The 20,941-nt window shown below is 40.7% G+C and overlaps 1 long non-coding RNA gene across 1 annotated transcript in view, besides 2 other annotated features; it reads left to right on the top strand.

The window, feature by feature from the left end:
- Positions 1 to 20,941, top strand: part of STXBP5-AS1 (STXBP5 antisense RNA 1) — a 363,227-nt gene that overhangs the window by 329,425 nt on the left and 12,861 nt on the right. Inside the window, exon 8 of the long non-coding RNA NR_034115.1 lies at positions 14,447 to 14,572. This is a non-coding gene — a long non-coding RNA (STXBP5 antisense RNA 1). The remainder of the gene's footprint in view (positions 1 to 14,446; positions 14,573 to 20,941) is intronic.
- Positions 4,122 to 4,201: a silencer, noted in NCBI's record as "silent region_17645". NCBI's record gives its function as "represses an Ori minimal core promoter by ATAC-STARR-seq in GM12878 lymphoblastoid cells {active_cell/tissue: GM12878}" and the evidence as "EXISTENCE:reporter gene assay evidence [ECO:0000049][PMID:35858748]".
- Positions 17,259 to 17,418: an enhancer, noted in NCBI's record as "active region_25232". NCBI's record gives its function as "activates an Ori minimal core promoter by ATAC-STARR-seq in GM12878 lymphoblastoid cells {active_cell/tissue: GM12878}" and the evidence as "EXISTENCE:reporter gene assay evidence [ECO:0000049][PMID:35858748]".

Here is a 20,941-nt window from a genome sequence, read left to right as displayed (position 1 = left end):
AATTTTCTAAAATTTATCTAAAGGAATAAACTGGTAGGAATTAAAATGTTTGAAAAAAAATAAGATGGAACTTGCATTATCAAAGATTAGAACATATTAAAAATCTATAAAGCATGAAACAGTGTGGTATTAGTGTCAGGATGGACATTCAGATCAATGAAACAGGGTGGAAATACTAGGAAAATACCACGTATAGAAGTTTTAATTACGTGAATAAAATGACCCTTCAAATAAGTGGGGGAAAGAATCAAATTGTTCAATAACTTAGATGGTTGGTTACTTATATTTTAAAAGGTCATGTCTTCAGTTGCCTCATACCAGAAATGCCACAGCACAATGGCTTGCTGGGACTTGGTTACAGATGAGCTAGGATGTGATCATCTCAGTTGCCCAGGTGGCTGATAAACCCTAGCTGTGAACAGCCTCATTTGTTTACCCCAGAGTGCCATGAAAACGTGTATGTTTCTATGTGCGCTGTGATGCAAAATATGCTAGAGAGTAGTCTTTTACTATACACTAAAATTAATTAGAAATTGTTTTAAAAATTAAATGCAAATGAAACAATAAGAAAACTTTGAGAAAATATGAACAAATATCTTGGGTCCAGGAAGGCTTTGGAAAAATAAAATGAAAAATAGAAATTATAAAGGTAAACAAAAGAGATTTGGTGAGCTAAAATGAGTATTTCTGAACCTCAATAACAAGATTCTCAGAACTAAAGGACAAGTCACAAACTGGGGAAAAATGTGTCAGGCAAAGTGTCAAATGAGTGGAAGGATTCTACAGATCTACAGAGAAAAGATAGATACCTACATATTTTGAAAAGGAAAAGGCAATAAACAAGCAATTAATACAGATGATTTTTTAAACTATCTTATGAAAAATGTTAAAGATCATTAATAACAAATACATGCAAATTTAAAGAGTGAGATTCTCTTATCATGTATCAAATTGGTAGAGCTAAAATGATTCATAATTCCCCAGGTTGGCTGGAGTGTGAGATACTGAGAATTTTCTTTTTTTTTCTTTTTTTTTTTTTTTTTGTGAGATGGAGTCTTACTCCACTGCCCAGGCTGGAGTGCAGTGGCACAATCTCTGCTCACTGCAACCTCCACCTCCCAGATTCAAGTGATTCTCCTGTATCAGCCTCCCAAGTATCTAAGACTACAGGCACATGCCACCATGCCCGGCTAACTTTTGTATTTTTAGTAGAGATGGGGTTTCATCATGTTGGCCAGACTGGTCTCGAACTCCTGACCTCATGCTGGGATTACAGGCGTGAGCCACCGCACTTGGCCATTGAGAACTTTCATACAGTGCTGAATAAATTAAACTTCTAAAGGGAAATTGAAAACAGATTTCCTAGGCCTTATGATTCCTATATGAAGTAGTTGTAGGGATGTATCCTAAGTAAATAATTAAAGATGGGGCCAAAGTTCAACATAAAAGGATGCTCCTTTCAGCATAATCTATAAAACAGGCAATTCAAAGGAATCTAAATGTGATTATAAAAGTTCTTACGTATCTACTACAGCATCAGATCTAGTCACTGAAAGTGTTACAGAAAATACTTATATACTGATGAGACAACATTCACAATATAGAGCCAAATAATAAAATGCAAGTTGTGAGAGTACAATACTATTTCTTTAAAATAATATACAAACAAACCAACAAACAAAAATAGTAGAAGGGCACATAGCAAAATATAAATGATGATTATGTATCAGGGCTGAATCATAGGTAATCCTTGCTTCTTCCGTAGTTTTTCCGTTTTTAAAATTATCTGCACTGAACATACATTCCTTTTGTAACTATTTTAAAAAGATGTTATTAAAATACAAAAATAAAAAAGTTATAATTTATTCAGTTTCAACTATGCTTATACAAGCATGATTGAAACTTCAGCCTCATATCGGGGCTAACATTGTCAGAAAATTCAGTCTTCTGATTATTGATTTGCTGCAATCATAAATGATTGGTACATTTTAGAAGATGACAAGACAAAATAGGATCAAAATATTCAGAGGGATGGTGCACTAGCCAAGACTTCACAATTCTAGCCTTGCCATCGACTGAGATGGCATCACATGAATAAGAAATACCTTGTACACGGCTGATAAATACTTGATAGTTTTTGATAAATTTTGATAATTTAAAAAATTTCTACTCTACTTACATTACTGAACACATTGCATAATTTATTCTAAAAAAAGAAATAAAAAATTTGAAACTATCATTAATGTTTACATTATGAAAATTTCTCTTTAATGCTATACTTTAATCTCATATATTAGTAAAGGATTTGTGTTCAAGATTATAAATAAAAGAGGCATCCTTAATCTAAGCTGTCTCTGTGGCATTCTCTGAAGTGGGATGTGGCCTTAAGTGTTCATAGCTTTGGGAATTTAACAAAATGTAATGATCCGCTGAGATGTATTTATTTTTATCAGATGTAGAATATGGAAATCTGACATTTTCATGAGCATAATTACAAGGACAATGCATATTCTTATTTGAAGTTTTAAAATGTAGAGGCAAATAATTAGGTTTAAAGAAGAGGAGAGAGAGTGTGTGCTAGGGAGTGCACACTGTGTCTTAAATACTTAGGAGTATTCAAATATGCCTTGTAACTTAAGGGATTCATTGGAATAAAACTGATCCAGGATGATGTGCAACTTGTGATATCTTTTTATTCATTCTGGGAAAAGTCTGATGAGTTGCCTTTTATATTGGAGAGCCCCCTCACTCTCCAAGTGAGTTGTGGCTGCACTTGCACCTAGAATGCACACGTGGAGGGCCCTCTTGACAAAAGTCCAAGAAGCGCCTTAATGGATCATGGTTAGTGTTCCACAGCGTGAGTCACTGGCGTTTCGAAGCAGCATCAATTTGGCCATAATATGTTTCCATGGTTTCCACAGTTATCACTGTCTGCCTGAATAATGAGCACCAATAAAATATGACCTGACTGGATTATAGCAGGGGAAGAATCTGAAGAGCACTCTTTTTATAGTTTCTTTTCTTATAAACCACTTGACTGACTCCCTTTCTAAGGTTATCCTAGAATTTACTGTACTGTGCAGTATGAGGTAATTGGCTTTCGGGATTTCGGGAGGGTTCTACTCTGCAATCAGATCAATATTGTGTGCTTTGCCTGTGTTCTCAGAAGAAAGGAGTATCTGTTTAGGAACTGGAGTAAGGGGGAGAAAACCTAGAAAACATTAACTGATTGAGAGTGGCATAAACAAGAAAATGCCCATTGCTGCCAAAGTCCATAAAATGCATAAAGTGTACAAAAATTTGCATCTGTTATGGATTAGTAACAGATGGAGCTGTTAGGTAATAGTAAAAAAAAAATCAATTGTAATACAAGTGATCTACGTTGGAGCGACTTGGAGAGTAGACACACTGCATTCAACCCTCAGCTGCTCAGGGAAAGGGTAGGTGATAGAAGGAGAAGGGACAGCTTTTCATGCCGCAATAGTTTAAGAGTCACTCAGTCGACAGGGCACAGTGACTCACGCCTGTAATCCTGGCACTTTGGGAAGCCAAGGTGGGTGGATAACTTGAGGTCAGGAGTTTGAGACCAGCAACATGGTGAAACCCCGTCTCTACTAAAAATATAAAAATTAGCTGGGCGTGGTGGCACGTGCCTGTAATCCCAGCTACTCAGGAGGCTGAGGCAGGAGAATCACTTGAACCTGGGAGGCGGTGGTTGCAGTGAGCCGAGATTGTGCCACTGTGCTCCAGCCTCGATGACAGAGACTCCGTCTCAAAAAAAGAGTCACTCAATCACATGTTGGGCCACGTAAGTGGCTCAACAACTACTTATGTTTTCTGTGCCACTTACATGGCCTTGTCATTGATAGGAATTCCTATTCTGAATTTCCCTTTCACAAAAAGGGAAATTCCCCATGATTGGAAGAAGGGGCCTGTTCCCTGAAACACCTACCCAGGTGCCGCCTCCTTCAATGCATCCCCCTCTCATTCTCTGCTCTCCTGCACCTGACTTGACTAGCTGCTGCCCCTTGGCTTCTCTTGTTGGGAAGGGGCTGTACCAATGGGTTTTTTGGTGCCTGTCCTGGTAGGTGAAAGTGACATAATTTTGTTGTCACGAATGACAGTGAAACCTCCAGCACTGAGTAGGGCAGTACAGCAAGCCCGGCCCCTGCTCCTCCAAGTCAGTGCAGCCTGGCAGCAGACACCCTTACTGCTTGAGCTTTTACTGCTGATGAGGCCTAAGTCATGCATAGAAAGTCTCTGACAAAAAGCAACAGGGATGTGTTTTTCTGAGTATTGGGAAAGCCCCTCTAGTGACCACTGATGACAGTTGGAGGAAGCCAAGTTTATTATTTTTTTTTCAAAGCGAGAGAGAGGAAGAGAGAGAGAAAAGAAAAGAGGAGAGAAGAGAGAGAAAAGATATCAAGATTTAAGAACTGAGAAGAGAGTGTGATGGCTCACACCTATAATCCCAGCACTTTGGGAGGCCAAAGCAGGACTGTTACTTGAGCCCAGGAATTTGAGACCAGCCTGGGCAACATAGTGAGACCACATTTCTACAAAAAAAAATTAGCTGGGCATGTTGGCACACACCTGTGGTCCCAGCTACTTGGGAGGTTGAGATGGAAGGATCACTTAAGCCTAGGAGGTTGAGTGCAGTGAGCCATGATCATGCCAGTGCACTCCAGCCTGGGCAACAGAGTCAGAGCCCATCTCACAAACAAAACAAAACAAAACTGAACAGAGGTTGCACAGTGACCATGAAAACTCCTGTCTATTTCTATATTCATATTCAGAAATCCTAGAGAGCAAAGGCAGAGAGTCCTGGAATAGGGACGCCATCTTGATCAGAAATTTTCCAAACATTTATGTCTAGATAGAGAGCTCTGGTGATGGCCAAATTATTTTATCACTTGCTAATTGTGAACATTAAGCAACTTACTTGGCAACTTTCAATTACAGTTTCTCATCTGTAAAATGGGAATAATAATGATTCCTACCACACAGTAGTGAAGCTTAAACAAGATAACACATCTGATATGTGGCATAAGATAGAAACCCAATAAATGTCATTTATTGGTACTATGATTTCAGGGAAACAGGATATTTTCTAATTACTACACATTTTCTGTTATATGGATAGGCTGCTTTTATTCAGAAAAAAATAACCTTCATGAAGTGCTTTTATTTCTCTAGGGGCTATTAAAATGTCTAATCCTATTATAAAGACTTTTGCTTTCAGCCTAACAGACACACTCAGAAATGGAATGGACTCTCGGGCAGATAGGGCTATGGATTTAATGACATCAGGTACATAATGAAGCCCACTTTGGGCTGATCGGAAAATACCCTCTGCCCTGTCTAAACCACATGGCAAGTCCAAATCAAGCAAGCTACACAGCCAAGAAATGATTTCTGGGCTCTTGGGTCTGTTTTCATTAAGTCTTTGTCAATAATGTATTGAGTATTTATTGAGTTCCATACGGGAAATGTTACATGCTAGCTGCTTTGGGACTGTATAAACATACACAGTGTGGTGATCCCCAGGGGCATACGTATAGTAAGAAAAATAATACATGCAAAAATAACCACAATAAAAGTAAACGTGAAAACTGTTACAAGAGTTTTGTGAACACAGAAGCTCAAACGCTTTCACTTTTTCCCACAAAAGATGTATGGATTTTTGCTGGATAATTATGCATTGAAGAAAAAGGACCTCAAGGAGAAGCCGATGGCATAAACAAACGTGTAAACATGCTAAAAATAATTTCAGTAATAATAAAAATAACCAACTTACATTTTTACTATGTGCTGGGTAAAATATATATGCATCAGATCAAATGGACAAAGCATAGATAAGTGCTAGGTAAAATATATGCATATTATATATATATATGCAAATATAAATATTTATATCAAATGGATGCTAGAGAATGTGTTGTAAGGTAGGCAAGGGATTAAGCCACAAAGTAAGCTGTGGTAAAAAAAAAAAAGGATTTCAAAGTCTTCTGTGATGTCAGAACTCCCTACCAGGAATAAAGAGTTTTCTGGAACGGGGGTGACCTTCTGGCTGTGGCACCTGGTGGCTGGTCTGGGATTAAGTAGTTCACAACCATCCTCTGAGGGAGGTAGTGAGCGCATTGTTATGTCCACTTTGCAGGTGATCAGAATGAGGCACAGGAGTTGTGAGTGATGAAACCGGGGTGTTTAGTCCATTTCAGAGCTGGAATTAGTATACAAATCGTGCTTGGCTGACTTCCAGTGCTGTTCCATTCTCATATCCAGGTTCTTACCCTGTGGCTCTGCAATACCTCATGTTGTTGATTTTAGAATGAAACAGACAAAACTTTTATGTCCAAAGATCACTGTAACAGGTTAGAGTAAGTGGCAGCAAGCCCAGTATGCTTCAGCTACTTGAACTGCATGTAAATTGCAGAATTGATAGGGGTTGAGGTTGTCTAATATTTACTTGCAAGGAGTAATAGGGTTTGCTTTAAAGGACTTGGAAGAATCCAAGAATCTGAGTGTTCATAATTCATCAGATGTATAATTCTAAAAGTGGGAGAAGATTTGAGACCATCTTATTTCTTTATTTTACTAGCGAGGAAACCAAAACTCAAAGAGATTAGATGAATGGCCAAAGCAATACAGAGAGTGAATGGGGCAGGCCCATGTCTCTTTACCCTTGGGCCAGTGGAGCCTACAGGCCTCGGCAATTGGTCTTCTAGAAGAAGCATTCAAAGTCGCAACAGATGAGATGGGAACTGGAAGGGTGGGTTGAGCACGACCCTCTGTGTGCAGAGGGGAAGCTGGTTCTATAAACGAACTCCAGAACATTTGCTAGAATAGGGATACAAATATAAAATCATAAAGCGTCCTACCTCTCCTCTGAGATACTGCCTCTAATTTTATAAAATTCCTCTCTCAGTGAGGAAGTAGAAAATGGCAAATAGCCTTCAGTGTGCTTGATTTTTCAACCCAGCATGATAGAGACATCAACAAAATTTATTAGGTTTAAATGGGATTGACTAGATTAAGTTCTCTACCTAAGAAAAATTGGGGGTTCTGTGTCATATGTTAAAATTTGGCTTCAGGAAGAATGAGATCACGTCCTTTACAGGAGCATGGATGGAGCTGAAGGCCATCATCCTTAGCAAACTAATGCAGGAACAGAAAACCAAATATTGCATGTTCTCATTTATAAGTGGGAGCTAAATGGTGAGAACTCACAGGGACACAAAGAAGGGAACAACAGACACTGGGACCTACTTGAGGGTGAGGGATGGGCGGAGGGAGAGGAGCAGAAAAAAATAACTGTTGGGTACTGGGTTTAGTATCTGGGTGAAAAAATAATCTGTGCAACAAACGCCTGTGACACAAGTTTACCTATATAACAAACCTGCACATGCACCCCTGAACCTAACATAACATTTAAAAAATAAATAAAATTTGCTTTCAGAAAGTAAGATTATGGCTCAGGAACACCTGAGAATATGATAGTAAAAGTTCATACTTGTAAAATGTAGGGAATAAAAAGGATTCTGAGGCTAAAGAAAAGCTTTAAAAACTTCTGATCTACTAAACTGGTAAGTTAGAAAATTCCTAGTCTACTCTTAATGGAGAAAATAAATGATTTTTCTCAGATTACAACACAATAACAGAGACTAGAGCAAAGACATGATCCAGAGATATTTCCACCCTTCACTTTAAGAAATCTGTGCAAAGCAAAAGAATGGCAGGTGTCACTGGGCATTGAGTGGAGTAGGATCCTTTCCAAGTGTGCTGTCTTCTATGATGAGGTTTCTTGGAGTGGGGATTCTTGATTCTGCATAGGGTGACCCAAAGCTTGGTGATACCTAGGTAGGTTGAAGAGACACTCAACTGTTCTGGGAAAAGAATAGACCAGGGCCTTCTGCTACTTGAAGGCTTCCCTCTCTGTGCCCTAAAAAATAAATAAATAAATAAATAAATTAATTAATTAATTAAATAAATAAATGGTGTGGAATCCTTGGGGCTTCAGGGAAGCAAGGAACCGAGGACTGAACTTTGTGTTTGAAGTTAGGATAGTTTGTATCTGGATGACTTAAAGATCCGTTGGCAAGAATGGAAACCAAGTCTTCCAAAGAGAAACCTACAAGAAGGAATGTGGTCAATTGCCCGGGTGACTTTGGTGCAACCAAAAGCCTTTGAGTGTTAGCCAGGGAGGGCTGGTTCAGATTCTGCAGATCCAGTTTCTAGCAGTAGAGCCTGGTGTCAGCATCAGTAACTAGTACACTGACCAGACTTTCCAGTTTTTTCTCTCTTCAACCGGCTGCCTAGTGTTCTTGTACAGAATGAACCCTTTGGAATGAATAAGTCCATAGTGTTCTTGGACAAGGCAGTAGGAGGGAACCTGAATAGGTTATACTGGATATTTTTCTAAAAACCAAACTGTGGGAACTGAAAAATTAATTGAGAGGGGAGGCATACAAGAGAAAGAGATGTGATTTTATTTAACTACAAGCTGAAAAACGTGACCCATCCTGGCTACCTATGAATATCATTAGTTCGATTAATCTGTGGATATATTATGAGATTCTCTAATTCAACATTTGGAAGTGCTTATGGACTTGAAACGTGTTGGTCAATGCTGCGCTGAAATGGGCAGCCTGGGAAGAATACTATGGGAGAAATGCGAGGATCTCTGTGACTCTCCAGGGAGCAGCCTCTGGAGGGGAACTCTTCTTGCTCCTTTTCTACAGATATCGGCATATTTTAGAGGAGTCTGTTTTCAAACAAAAATGGCAGAAAGGACCCCTTTGTAACATGAGCATTTCTTTTAGGCAAATAAGCCTCCCTGTGACCTAGGTGTTAAGAGCTGCCTTTATGATGATTTTCCCTGGACTTCACAAATGACACCCCTTTTGAGTGGTTCAGTTTGAGTGTTAACAGAAACCTATGTGTGAGTAACACGTATCCACAAATATGTTGTCTAGTTGGAAGATAAATATATGCAAGGTCATTAAGGTCACAGGGGAAATGTAATAAAAGTCCAATTATTTTGGCAAATATGTTACATCTAAATATGCATTTGCTTTTGATACTCTACAGTTTAGGCCCCATAAAGATGATTTAGGGTGTCGTCTCTTCCTTGGCTAATTTATGAGCCCAGAGAATATGCGTCTACTCTGACCTCACCTGCTAACTTGCTAAGTGGCTTTTCTATTCCCAGAAGTTCATAGCTGTGTGCAGAACAGCCTTTGTGACTTAGAGGTAGATAAACAAGTTGGTTTTCTTCACTCCCATATTAAGCTTCTGCTCAGCACTTTCTAGAGGCGCTGCCTAAAAGTCTAAGATAAATAAAGATGTAACTGATAGGTTTTCTCTGTTCTTTCTAAAATAATCACCTTTTTGGCGACTGTATTTGTTAATAACTTAGAACCACTCAATAGGTTAAGTGAGTGTGTGGGGGTAAATGAAATCTCATTCATGGAAATAAACTTGAAACATTGAAATATTAAATTGATGATGCATGTGGCTAGACAAAAACACTTTGTAAACCAGCTACAGTTTTGAGCTTCTCATGGAATAGATCCATTTCATTTTAACTGTGCTGTTCATGCCAATGGCTGTTAGCTGGGTTTCTGACAGATGTCAGCAATGCAACGAAATCCAAATGCCTGAATGATCCTTCCTCCTGGATGTGATGCAAACTGTATCAAGTTTCTGATGCCCAGACCAGAGCACTTATGAGTCTCCAAACACAGTTCTTCTATGCTCTCCATGACCTGTCCTGTGTCATTTCGTTTAACACATAGATTTATATTCAGAAAATATAGCTATATATGCTGTGACTCCTTAGAAGACCTGATGACCCTTACAACCTAAACAGGCACTAAACACTGCTATGTTGTAGAGTGCAGGATCTGCAGTGACAGGCAAGTCCCAGGTTACCTTTTGTGACATAAATTTTGACCTTTGTCCCATATATTGGCTATGCCTCATGCTAAATTTGGGGCTCTGACGGTCAGCTCCATCCCCTGGTCAGCCTCAGGACCATGTCACAGGATGATGTAGCCAAGACATACGTGAGGACCACCAGTTATCATACTGTTGGCTCTGCACACTCATGCTACACCATTGAAATAAAACACAGAAATTCATCCCCTCTTCCTAGGAGCTGAACTTCTGCAGCTGGCAGAGACTCCCTGCATGTTTTCTGAGAAGAGCTCAGGGACATAAGAATTCATTCTGTGGAGCATAACCAGGCTTTTAGCCTCCATCCCACACACAGCTACACATGCTGTAGTAGGGGAGAGGCCAAGGACGTTGTCTGGAAAGGTGTAAGGCCAACCACAGAGTCCCCGGGCCGCGTCCTGGACCCACGCTAATCATTCCACCCCCAAGTAATTGTGGGATAATGTGTTCCCTTCTTCATAGGCAAAGCAGGTTATGGAAATTATTTTATGAAAAGTACCTGGGAGTGTTGCCAAGCTAATTTTTGGTTCATTATACCATCTATTATTAATACATTATCACATAATGATTGTATGGTCTGATCTTTCCCTCATACATACTATGGTGGTTTTTCCGTTTGTGTGTGTGCAGTGTAACTGGATCTTGGTTCATGCTGAGCTTAAAATTTGATCTTCTGAATATCAGCAGAAAGACTCTTTCTGGTGAATACAGATCTTCTGAGCAATTATCGACTGACTTTGTCATTAGACTGCCCTTTCAGAAGGTACAAAAAAAGAAAAAGAAAATTACTACTGTGAAGTGAAGTCTGAGCAACTGGGAAGAAATGCAAGGTGAAATGAAATGGTGAAGGTAAATGAACGGGAAGAACCTGGGGAGATGGTAACCACGTTAATCATAGTAAACTGGGATGAAAAGACAGAGAATAACACAATATAGAGACTTTTTTAATTATTAGAGGAAAAGATAGGTCCAATAGCATGACTAGAGGCTTTGAAAAGTAAAGACAGCTCAAAAGGAACAAAATTCTCAAAGCATTGTAATTGTACAATCCTAGCTCACCTTCATGAGAGGAAAGTTTAAGAAACAGGCAGCAGGAGGGGGCTTGCTGTCTATTTTTAGAAAGATTTTGGCCAAAAAAGGAAGTGTTAGCACAAAAAGAAGAGTCAATTTTTACAGACACATGAGGGGTAGTGTTTTCCAAAAAGACCGAAACGTGGCACAATTGTATTCACCTTTGTAACTCCAGCACCCACTATAAGGGCAAGGCCCCCCAAATGTCTTCCATTGATTTTGTCATTTGGAGAATTTGCTCCCAGGTTCATATGAGAAGGTACGGCTGACATTGTATGGTATGTGGGATTTGCTTCAAAACAATCCAGGGAGGAGAAAGCAGGGGTGAGGGTAATGACGAAATAAGATTGACTGGCCGGCTGCAGTGGCTCACGCCTGTAATCCCAGCACTCTGGGAGGCCAAGGCGGCCGGATCACGAGGTCCGGAGATCGAGACCATCCTGGCTAACACCGTGAAACCCCGTCTCTACTGAAAAATAGAAAAAATTAGCCAGGCGTAGTGGCGGGCGCCTGTAGTCCCAGCTACTCGGGAGGCTGAGGCAGGAGAATGGCGTGAACCCAGGTGGCGGAGCTTGCAGTGAGCCGAGATGGCGCCACTGCACTCCAGCACTCCAGCCTGGGCAACAGAGCGAGACTCCGTCTCAAAAAAAAAAAGACTGACCACAATTTGATATATTTACACCTGGGTGACAAATACTAAGGCATTCATTACTATATTATATCTACTCTTGTATGTTTGAAATTTTCCACAATAAAAATAAAAATCAAACCATATCTCTCAATTTAAAATAAAATGTTGTGGTTTGCTAAAAAAAAAAAAAATTCCACTTGAAATATACAAATACAGATCTTTAAAAAAGAAACTCACAGGAACAGAAACAGTGAAACCCTTAGGAAAAGGCTAATTGAATTGAAACACAGGTCACACATTTGATTTGCAGTGGAGCGAAGGGGCAAATCTGGGACTCTGGAAAGTTACTCTGGTGCTCTATTTTATGGCTGACTTTCAGTCAAAGGGCATGGGTGTCAGAGGGAGCTCAGTGTTTTCTGGGTCGCTAAAGGGGAACCGATCAACCAAAGTTACACAACAGAATATGTTTACTGAAAATAACAAAAACTTTTCCTTCAGCTGGGGCTATTGAACTATACAAGGGGCTGTTCTCAAGGTTTTAGACAGACCAGGTGTGGATGAATACACTAGTAGAAGTTTGATGGCCACGTGATAGGGATGCTGCAAAGAGAATTTCTGTATCACTCGGAGGCTGGACTAAATGACCTTGAAACTCCCTTCCCACTGGATGATGCCCTAATTCTGCAATGAGATGATCCTTCCTGTTTAGGCACATAACTCATAACTCTTGCAGGAGGCATGCCATTTGTCACACATCATGAGTACCTGATTTGAAAGAAAGAAAGAAAAACACGCTTGATTTTCAAATAAAAACTTATATAGTCCTTCACCAGCTAAAACTTAAAGATTCAAATTATTAATGCTAAATAACTAGTTTTAGTAAGTTGGGCTTTAATCCGTGTGTATTGAATTCCTAGAAAGTGTAAGGTGTTTGGATAGTAAAGGAGACCAGCGCCTTTGCAAGTACTGAGTGCTTGGATGGGTTTGGTGCCTCCAGCCTCTCTCCTCCTTTCCTGGGAGCTGCCCATGACATGCTGCTCTTGAGTTGTTCTTCTTGCATGGAGAACAGCTGCAAAGGTTTGGATACCCACCTTGCAGAGCCATTTTTTAACTTAAAGCAACATGTCACCAATCCCAGTGATTTTTCTTTAAGCTTTATTTCTAACTGCAGTACAAAGATTTATTTTTCTCAAAAAAAAAAAAAAAAAAAAAAAAAAGAACTATTGTGTCAGCAAACAAATGGGCTAAGGGTTGAGGTCAGCATTCTGAAATGACACAGTACAACCAGTGCAGCTATTCTGGTGCTTCCAGAGGGAAACTAAGCACAGTTTGGTCTATATCAGGGTAGGTCAGCGGCCTCTTGGCCTCAGACTGAAGGGGCCCACTCTTCAGGACCTTAGTTAGCCTTGCAATAAATGATTGGGAAGGATATGGTGCTAGCCCTCCAAAGATCTGGAAGGGACTCCATTCTGTCCCACGATATTATTACCCTTTCTCTGTTTCTTCTCCAGTTGTCAGTGACATGAATCTTTGCTCCCTTCTTCATGGAATATTTCTGATCTAATAGCCCCTATATTTCAAAAGATGGATATAAACATCAGATGAATATCACAGGAAAGCTGGATTGCTCTGCAGTGAGTGAAACGTGGAAAGGCCTTTCCCCACCAAGCAGTAGGCCAAATTGTAACAGTAAGATGTATTTGAAATAAAATGGTTCATAGATCAGAGGTGATCCTGTCTTTTTTAAAGCGTGAAAGTGTTCCTTCTGCAGAATGAGGCTCAAAAGAGGAACATGAATAATTTGATATTTATTATGTTATGATCTGCTTTAATCCATTATATATATGAAATAGTGTGTGTGTGTGTGTATATATATATATGTATAGATGATACAGAAATATGATTCTTTAAAAGGCTACATATTTAATATGCTTTCACTCTTAGCCCAGAGCAAAGCTGGTTTCTTCCTGCAGATAAATCATCCCCAGCTCTGGAGTTCTATATAGTTGACTTTAAATAGTCACTTGGTCTCAGATTTTGCTGGATTTCCAGTGTGATAGATGAAAGGATGCTGCACTTCTTACTCAACTACATCTCCTCTTTTACATTTCAGGCCATACCTTTCCATTAATTAATGCATACTGTCGTCAGCTCAGTCTTCCATCTTCTTTAATCATTTCAGCACCTGATCCACAATTTTGCTTCCCACACCACCTCTGACAACATCCTTGTACTGGTCAAGTTTATGAGCATTCTGGCACCTTACCATTTAACACATAACACCCTGTGTTGGTAAATATATTTTTATCTCCCTGCACATCGAAGTATAACTTGGCATTTCCCATACAGAAACCATAATGATGCACTGCAAATAACTCAAGCTTCACAAATATTTGCTCTGACCCAATGTGTGGCAGGGCAATTTTAATCCCGGATTCACCATCCTTACCATTCCCACCACCTTTAATCCTCTCTAGAGTCCAGCATCTACCAAGGCTGTGCTAGTAGAAGAGGGCTTTTGAAATGTAATCAGGCTGGGAAGAAAATGCACTTTTATTTTAGGAAAATTCAGGAGAAATTGGCAGGAAGCTAATCTCAGTGCAGCATGTCTGCTTATCCCTTTTTCTCTCCTGCAGAGGCCAGTTCACTATGAGGGCTCTGCTGTCCTTGCCAGCCTTCAAGCAATCAACGGCTCTTGTCCAGCAGTGGCTCAAACTCCTGGCCATTCACCCCAGGGACAGAAGCCAGTGGAGGGAGCAGTCATTGTTATTTACTTTTCATTGGCAGGTGGTGACCAGATGGATATAAACGGGCTGTGGAAAAAGAGAATGCATGGCCAAAAATGGTGGTGCTCTCTGTCCAAAAACTGAGGCCCTATGACCATGAATGAAGCCAGAGGGCAGGTAGGAATAGGTAAGAGAAGTTATTTCCAAATCACCATCCCCCTTTAGACTTTGAATGTTTTGAGTGTTTCATTAAATAGTGTTACAAGTCCTCTAAGATTCCACATAAACGTTTAGCCAGCCAACAGTTAAGTCTGTACCTCCCAAGGCAAGTGATGAATGTTGAGATTATAATTGTGAATGGCATAATCTCAAGGTCTAGGTGAAGTACAACATTGAACGGAAAAGGACTAAAAGAGGAAAAGAAGACATTTCCAGAAGAAGGTGCCAAAGTAGGGCTCCAGGCCAATTTGTTGAAAGCCAATTTGTTAAAATTAACTTGATGAATGACCAATTTACTGACTCATTGAGGGTTTTTGCTTATGTTTTAGTTTAATTCCTGCGCCTGCTTCTGAACATGACCCTGCCTCTGTAACAAAATAGTCTGGGCCAACTTCACAGACAGGGACAGGGAAAGTATAGGGTGAAGAGGAAAAGAAAATCTTCTAAACATCCTTACAATCTCACAAATTGGACATTTGGCAAATTGTTTTTCAGTCAATTGACTTGCTTCCCCAAAGCACAGCTATCTTCTAATTGTCTCTGTTTTCTAGCACAGGTTCCTGCTGCTTTCACATGCAGGTAAAATAAGGAGGGATGACATTCCCAAGAGCACGCACATATGCACACCACAAGGTGACATGTGCAAACCTGTGTCCACAACCCACTTCCTGGGTTTCTGTACAAGGTGAAGAAAGCCTTCTCAGAAGTCATCCCCTTCCTTCATGCTACAATTTTGCCTTATGTTAGGCTACCTTGGGAAAAAAAAATCACCAGAATTCTGGTGCTCAGTAGGGCTTTTAGTCATCATAATTGAGTAATCAGATTGAAGACTAATTCCAACCTGGATCCCCTCTCTAATTTTCTTGGCTGTAAATCTATTCAGGCCGCTGTAAAAACAAAACAAAACATACATTGGGTGGCTTATAAACACAGAAAGTTATTTCTCACGGATCTGGAGGCTGGAAAGTTTAAAATGAAGGTGCTGGCAGAATTGATGTCAGGTGAGGGCTCACTTCATGGCTCATAGACAGCTGTCTTCTCACTGTGTCCTCAGCCAGTAGCTGGCAAGGGAGCACTTGGGGGCCTCTTTTAGAAGGGCACTAATCCCATTCATGGGGGCTCCACTCTTGTGACCTGATTACCTCCCAGCCTTACCTCCTGATACCATCACATTGAAGATTAGATTTCAACGTATGGATTTTGGGAGAACAGAAACAGTCCACTGCAGGTCCGGAGTGCCTATAAAAGCATCGGTCTATGCAAGGGACATTGTTTCATCAAGTCTTAAATATTTTCACTGCTACACTCTACCGCTACAGTTCCCTGGTTTCTTTAGCTGTTACTCACTCTTATTCTTTGTTGCTTATATCAAAATTGAAGACCTTTGGAAAGATCCTTAAAGGAGTCTGAAAAATTCAAGAGAAAAACACACAAGAATGCAAATTAGAACAACAATAAAATACTATTTGCAACCTATAAAATTGTCAAAGCACATGAAAAGGAACTCTACTGGTATTGGCTCCTAACCATTGGTGAAAACGCAAATTGGCTCGGTGCTTCTAGAAGACCATTTGCAAATACATGCTGAGTAGCTTTAAATATCCACTGATCTTCAATTTTTCTTTTAGAGATTTTTCCCAAGGAAATAGAAATGTATGTAAAAGTTATTGACCTAGTGATGTTTACAATAGAAAAACAGAAAAAAATAGTGAAAATAGCTTTAATATCCATCCTTATTAAATTAACTGAATGTATTTTGTTACATTTATATGACACATGATAAACACTGCGCAAATATTTAAAATTATCAAAATATTTTAAGTAAAGAAAACAATAGATTGTTAATCTATGTATAATACTATAACACTTTCTAGTATAGCATATAGAATATTAGAAAAAGATCCTTACTTGATATACTAAATTAAATAACAATTATTGCTTGGCTAAGAGATTGTAAGTGCAGTTTATGCTTTTTCTTCTAGATCTATATTTTCCAGATTTTTAAGTTAACATGTCTTCAGTGAAGGAAGCCTGGTTTTGAATTCTTATAATTCTTTTAAAAATAACTTCATAATTTTTCTTTTAACAAAATTAAGAAAGCAAAGGGATTAAAAAAGCAGCCTTATTTACCAGAAATAATCCCATTGTACCTTTTCTCTCCCTGTTAAGCACAAATCTTCTCTAGAATACAGAAATATTCTAGAGATCACTGACGCATTTGAGGGAAATTGAAAACAAAACGAAACAGAACAAACAGAAGCCTTAAACAGTAAAATAACAGCAAGATGAAACTGATTTAAGACAATCAAATAACATCGTTTCCTGTTCATTCTCCAAACACAAGCTTTCTCTCGCTTTGACAGGTAGAATGAATCTGGGAAGGGATTGGTGTCCTCTCCTCTTCCCTCCTTCCGTCCCTTTCTCCCTGGCTCCCTTTTAAAAGCAAGTTGCATTGAACACAGCAGGGAGGTCTGATGGGAGGCACTGGTGGGGCTCCTTGCTGCAGGATGAGAGGATGAAACACACACAGCAGGGGAACATACACAATCAGCATCAAACCCCTAGCACCGGGAAGGCATAGAGGGGCTGTTCAGAAAAGGGTGCCTATGATGACTATTATTATTTAGTCTTAAAAAAACAAAAATCAGGGCAGCCCCTTTTGGAAAACAAACATGAGCACTGAACCAGTGTCACTGGGTTCACCGGCAGCTGCCAGCTGCACGCAGCGCAAGTCAACCAGAAACTCAACTAAGCAGTTTCCAGGATTTCATGGGAAGGATGACGATTCCTGAGAGTCCTTGCTCGCCTCTGGGGAAATGGGCCACTTGGGCCCCAGATGTGCGGGTCTTTTCCGGACTCAGGCCTGCGTCAGCATCCTTGGCCCGCGAGCCTGCGCCCTCATCGTTGCGTAAGAGTCTGTGCGGCCTCGCAGCCCGCGCGCTTGTCATCGGCGCCCCCTGCTGGACACACAGAGAAATGGCGCCTTCGCAGCCATCTGCTTGCCCCAGTCTGTCTCCACTTTTAGGACATTATTTTCTCCCTGTGCCACCATGAGAGGGGAATTTTCTACAGAGAAGGAAAAGAAATAAATCTTACCGCTGGAGCACAAAGCATACCCTGGAGCCCCAGCCAATATATGATTTCCATGGGAGGAAGGGCTGATTCTCAGCAGTTTATTCACACGGGCTCCAGTCCTTTTCTTACACCCGTGCACCTGCAGGACAGAGAGGCCAGGCCTCAGCCTGACAAAGCAGAGAAGGGGACCAGATAGGATTTCTCAGTGCTTGGAGGAATGTGAAGGGGCAGGGCTTGCAGTCCTCTCATGATTTTAACTCTACATCCTGTCACAGAAGCAGAAAGACCCGGAGAAGGCCGGGATGTCCTCAATTTCCTTCTTTTCTGCTTACTCCTTTAAACATCTCAGCAACCGCCTGTCACATCTCCAGAATTACATCGGCCTCCCTTGAAGTGTAAGCTATTACCCTCACCTAGCCATACAGATTTTATTTTATTTTATTTATTTTTTATTGTACTTTAAGTGTTAGGGTACATGTGCAGAACGTGAAGGTTTGTTACATAGATATGCATGTGCCATGTTGGTTTGCTGCACCCATCAACTCATCATTTACATTAGGTGTTTCTCCTAACGCTATCCCTCCCCCAGTCCCCCACTCCCCAACAGGCCCCGGTGTGCGATGTTCCCTTCCCTGTGTCCATGTGTTCTCATTGTTCAACTCCCACTTACGAGTGAGAACATGCGGTGTTCGGTTTTCTGTTCTTGTGATATTTTGCTGAGAATGATGGTTTCCAGCTTCATCCGTGTCCCTGCAAAGGACATGAACTCCTCCTTTTTTATAGCCATACAAATTTTAGAGACATTTAGACCTGCCTCAAAATCTTCTCTGCCCAAGCGTTGGGACTCCTGAGCTTGGGTGGGCGGCAGCCGCACAGTTTCTCAAAATGCACACTCCCTCGAGAAAGGTGGTACCATTATTGTTCAGCTGAGAGAAAGTTAGTCATGCTACCGTCTTCTCTTTGCTCAGTTTGAGTCAGATGTGCCACATCTCTCGCCTGAGCAGTGGCTAAATTTGTGGTCAATGGGGCTGAGCAGAGATAGAAGGGCTGTCAGTCCTGTGCAGGCCAAGGGTGCAGGCCTGCTGGGAGGCTTTCCTGAGAGCAGTCCCTCTGAAGTGTTCAGGATAGCCTTGCCTTTTCATTTTAATCCATGTTATTCGTGCCCTCATCTCCTCATGGTCCTCAGTCTTAGCTGCACTTTCAGATCACCCAGGAATCTTTTAAAAATCACTGATGCTCAGGAGCTGCCCCAGACTCATTCATTTGGAATCTCTGGAGATGGGGCCAGGGCAATGCATCTTTTTTTTTTTCTTTTTTGAAGATTCTCAGGTGACTATAATCATAAGCCGAGACAGAACCACTGACTTCATCTCTGTCTCCCCCAGCTTGTAGGGTGTGACCTTACAAAAGGAGGAACTCAGTAATGAATTCTGATGAATGAATGAGTGAGTGACTGTATGAATGGATGAATGAAGACTGAGAAGGGAAAAACACAGATGAATAATCCTTTATGACAAATATAGAAAACAATTGTGATTAATGAATTAATTACTAACTAAAAGTTAGCCATACAATAAAAGCAGTCACCAAACTAGAGGTGGACCACTCAGTGGATAGGCTGAAGGGGATGAGCCAAGGTATCCAACATTGATGGGAAAATGCTTCAAAGGGACCTGTGTTTACTGTTGGAACTGGTCTGGTAAAATTCTCCCTTTGGAAGACAGAAGGACAGGGAGGAGGCAGAGAGTGGGGAAGTAGTTGAACTCATGTAGCTGACTAAGAAGAGGATGGCAGTGTTGCCCCTGTTTCAGGGAGTCAGGCCCACAGAGGCCCTTGCTGTGCACACAGAGGTCCTTGCTGTGCACACAGAGCATATGGAACTCAGAGTTCCCTGGGGTGACTGAGGCAGAGACCAAGTTGCGATGTACTTGCAGAAAGCAGGACACAAACCCACCTAAGAGGCTCAGGAACAAGAATACATATGTGAGAAGTCTAGGCAAGTCCAGTCTCTCACTCTAACTAGAAGGTGAACTCTTTGAGACCAGAAATAATATCTTTCTCAGACCTTTTCTGAAAAGTTTCTATTTCTCCAAGTATATGGGAAGAGACTGGCTTCTAAAATAAGTGTAAGCAAGAAGGGAACCAACAGAAAAATGAAGGACAGTGTATTAATCAGGATTCTCCAGAGGGACAGGACTAATAAGATAGATGTATATATGAATGGGAGTTTATTAAGGAGTATTGACTCACATGATCACAAGGTGAAGTCCCACAGTAGGCCATCTGCAAGCTGAGGAGCAAGGAAGCCAGTCCGAGTCCCAAAACCTCAAAAGCAGGGAAGCCTGCAGTGCAGCCTTCAGTATGTGGCCAAAGGCCTTAGAGCCCCTGGCAAACCACTGGTGTAAGTCTAAGAGTCCAAAAGCTGAAGAACTTGGAGTCCAGTGTTTGAGGGTAGGAAGCATCCAGCATGGGAGAAAGATGAAGGCCAGAAGACTCAGCAAGTCAAGTCCTTCCGCGTTCCTCTGTCTGCTTTTATCCTAGCCGTGCTGGCAGCTGATTAGATGGTGTCCACCCAGATTGAGGGTGAGTCGGCCTCTCCCAGTCCACTGACTCAAATGTTAATTTCCTTTGGCAACACCCTCACAGACACACCCAGGAACAATACTTTGCATCCTTCAATCCAATCAAGTTGACACTCAAATATTAACCAACACAGATAGAATGCAAATTCAATGAGTTTGCAAATTGGTATAAGATTCATACAGTGAAACGTGGTAACCATCTGGGCCAGGATATGGCTATAAAGAAGCCAAGTGATTAAGTCATGCCCAGAAGGAAAATCAGTCACAGGGTAGGACTAGGTTGGCTCTCAAGGAATTCTATCTCCAGGATTTCAGCTCATCAATTTTCACAGACAACTAGCATGGTTTCTTTCCTCATTATTAGAGTCTCCATATTCAAAATAGAATTAATAACAGAGCTTCCCCCCAAAGCTGGCACAAAGCAATATATCTTATTGCCCACTACACAAAGGTTTGCTTTCTAATTCTAAAGATCCAAATCTCTCCCTAGCTAACGTTTCAAATACAGCTGGTTTACTTACTGCTTTGGATTTGTCAGATAAAGGCTAAAGTTCTGGAAGACAGTTATTTTTCTACCCTGGGGGATGCTAGGGACTTTTGATGAGGTCTTAGATACTCACACATATCCTTTCATTTGCCATAAATTATTAGCCTGGTTCAGTCTAATTATTACATAATTC

Source organism: Homo sapiens, chromosome 6 (genome assembly GCF_000001405.40).
Source record: "Homo sapiens chromosome 6, GRCh38.p14 Primary Assembly".
NCBI classification, from domain to species: domain Eukaryota; kingdom Metazoa; phylum Chordata; class Mammalia; order Primates; family Hominidae; genus Homo; species Homo sapiens.
The sequence above is the reverse complement of the archived record's forward strand: the minus strand, read 5'-3'. Positions and strand labels throughout refer to the sequence as shown.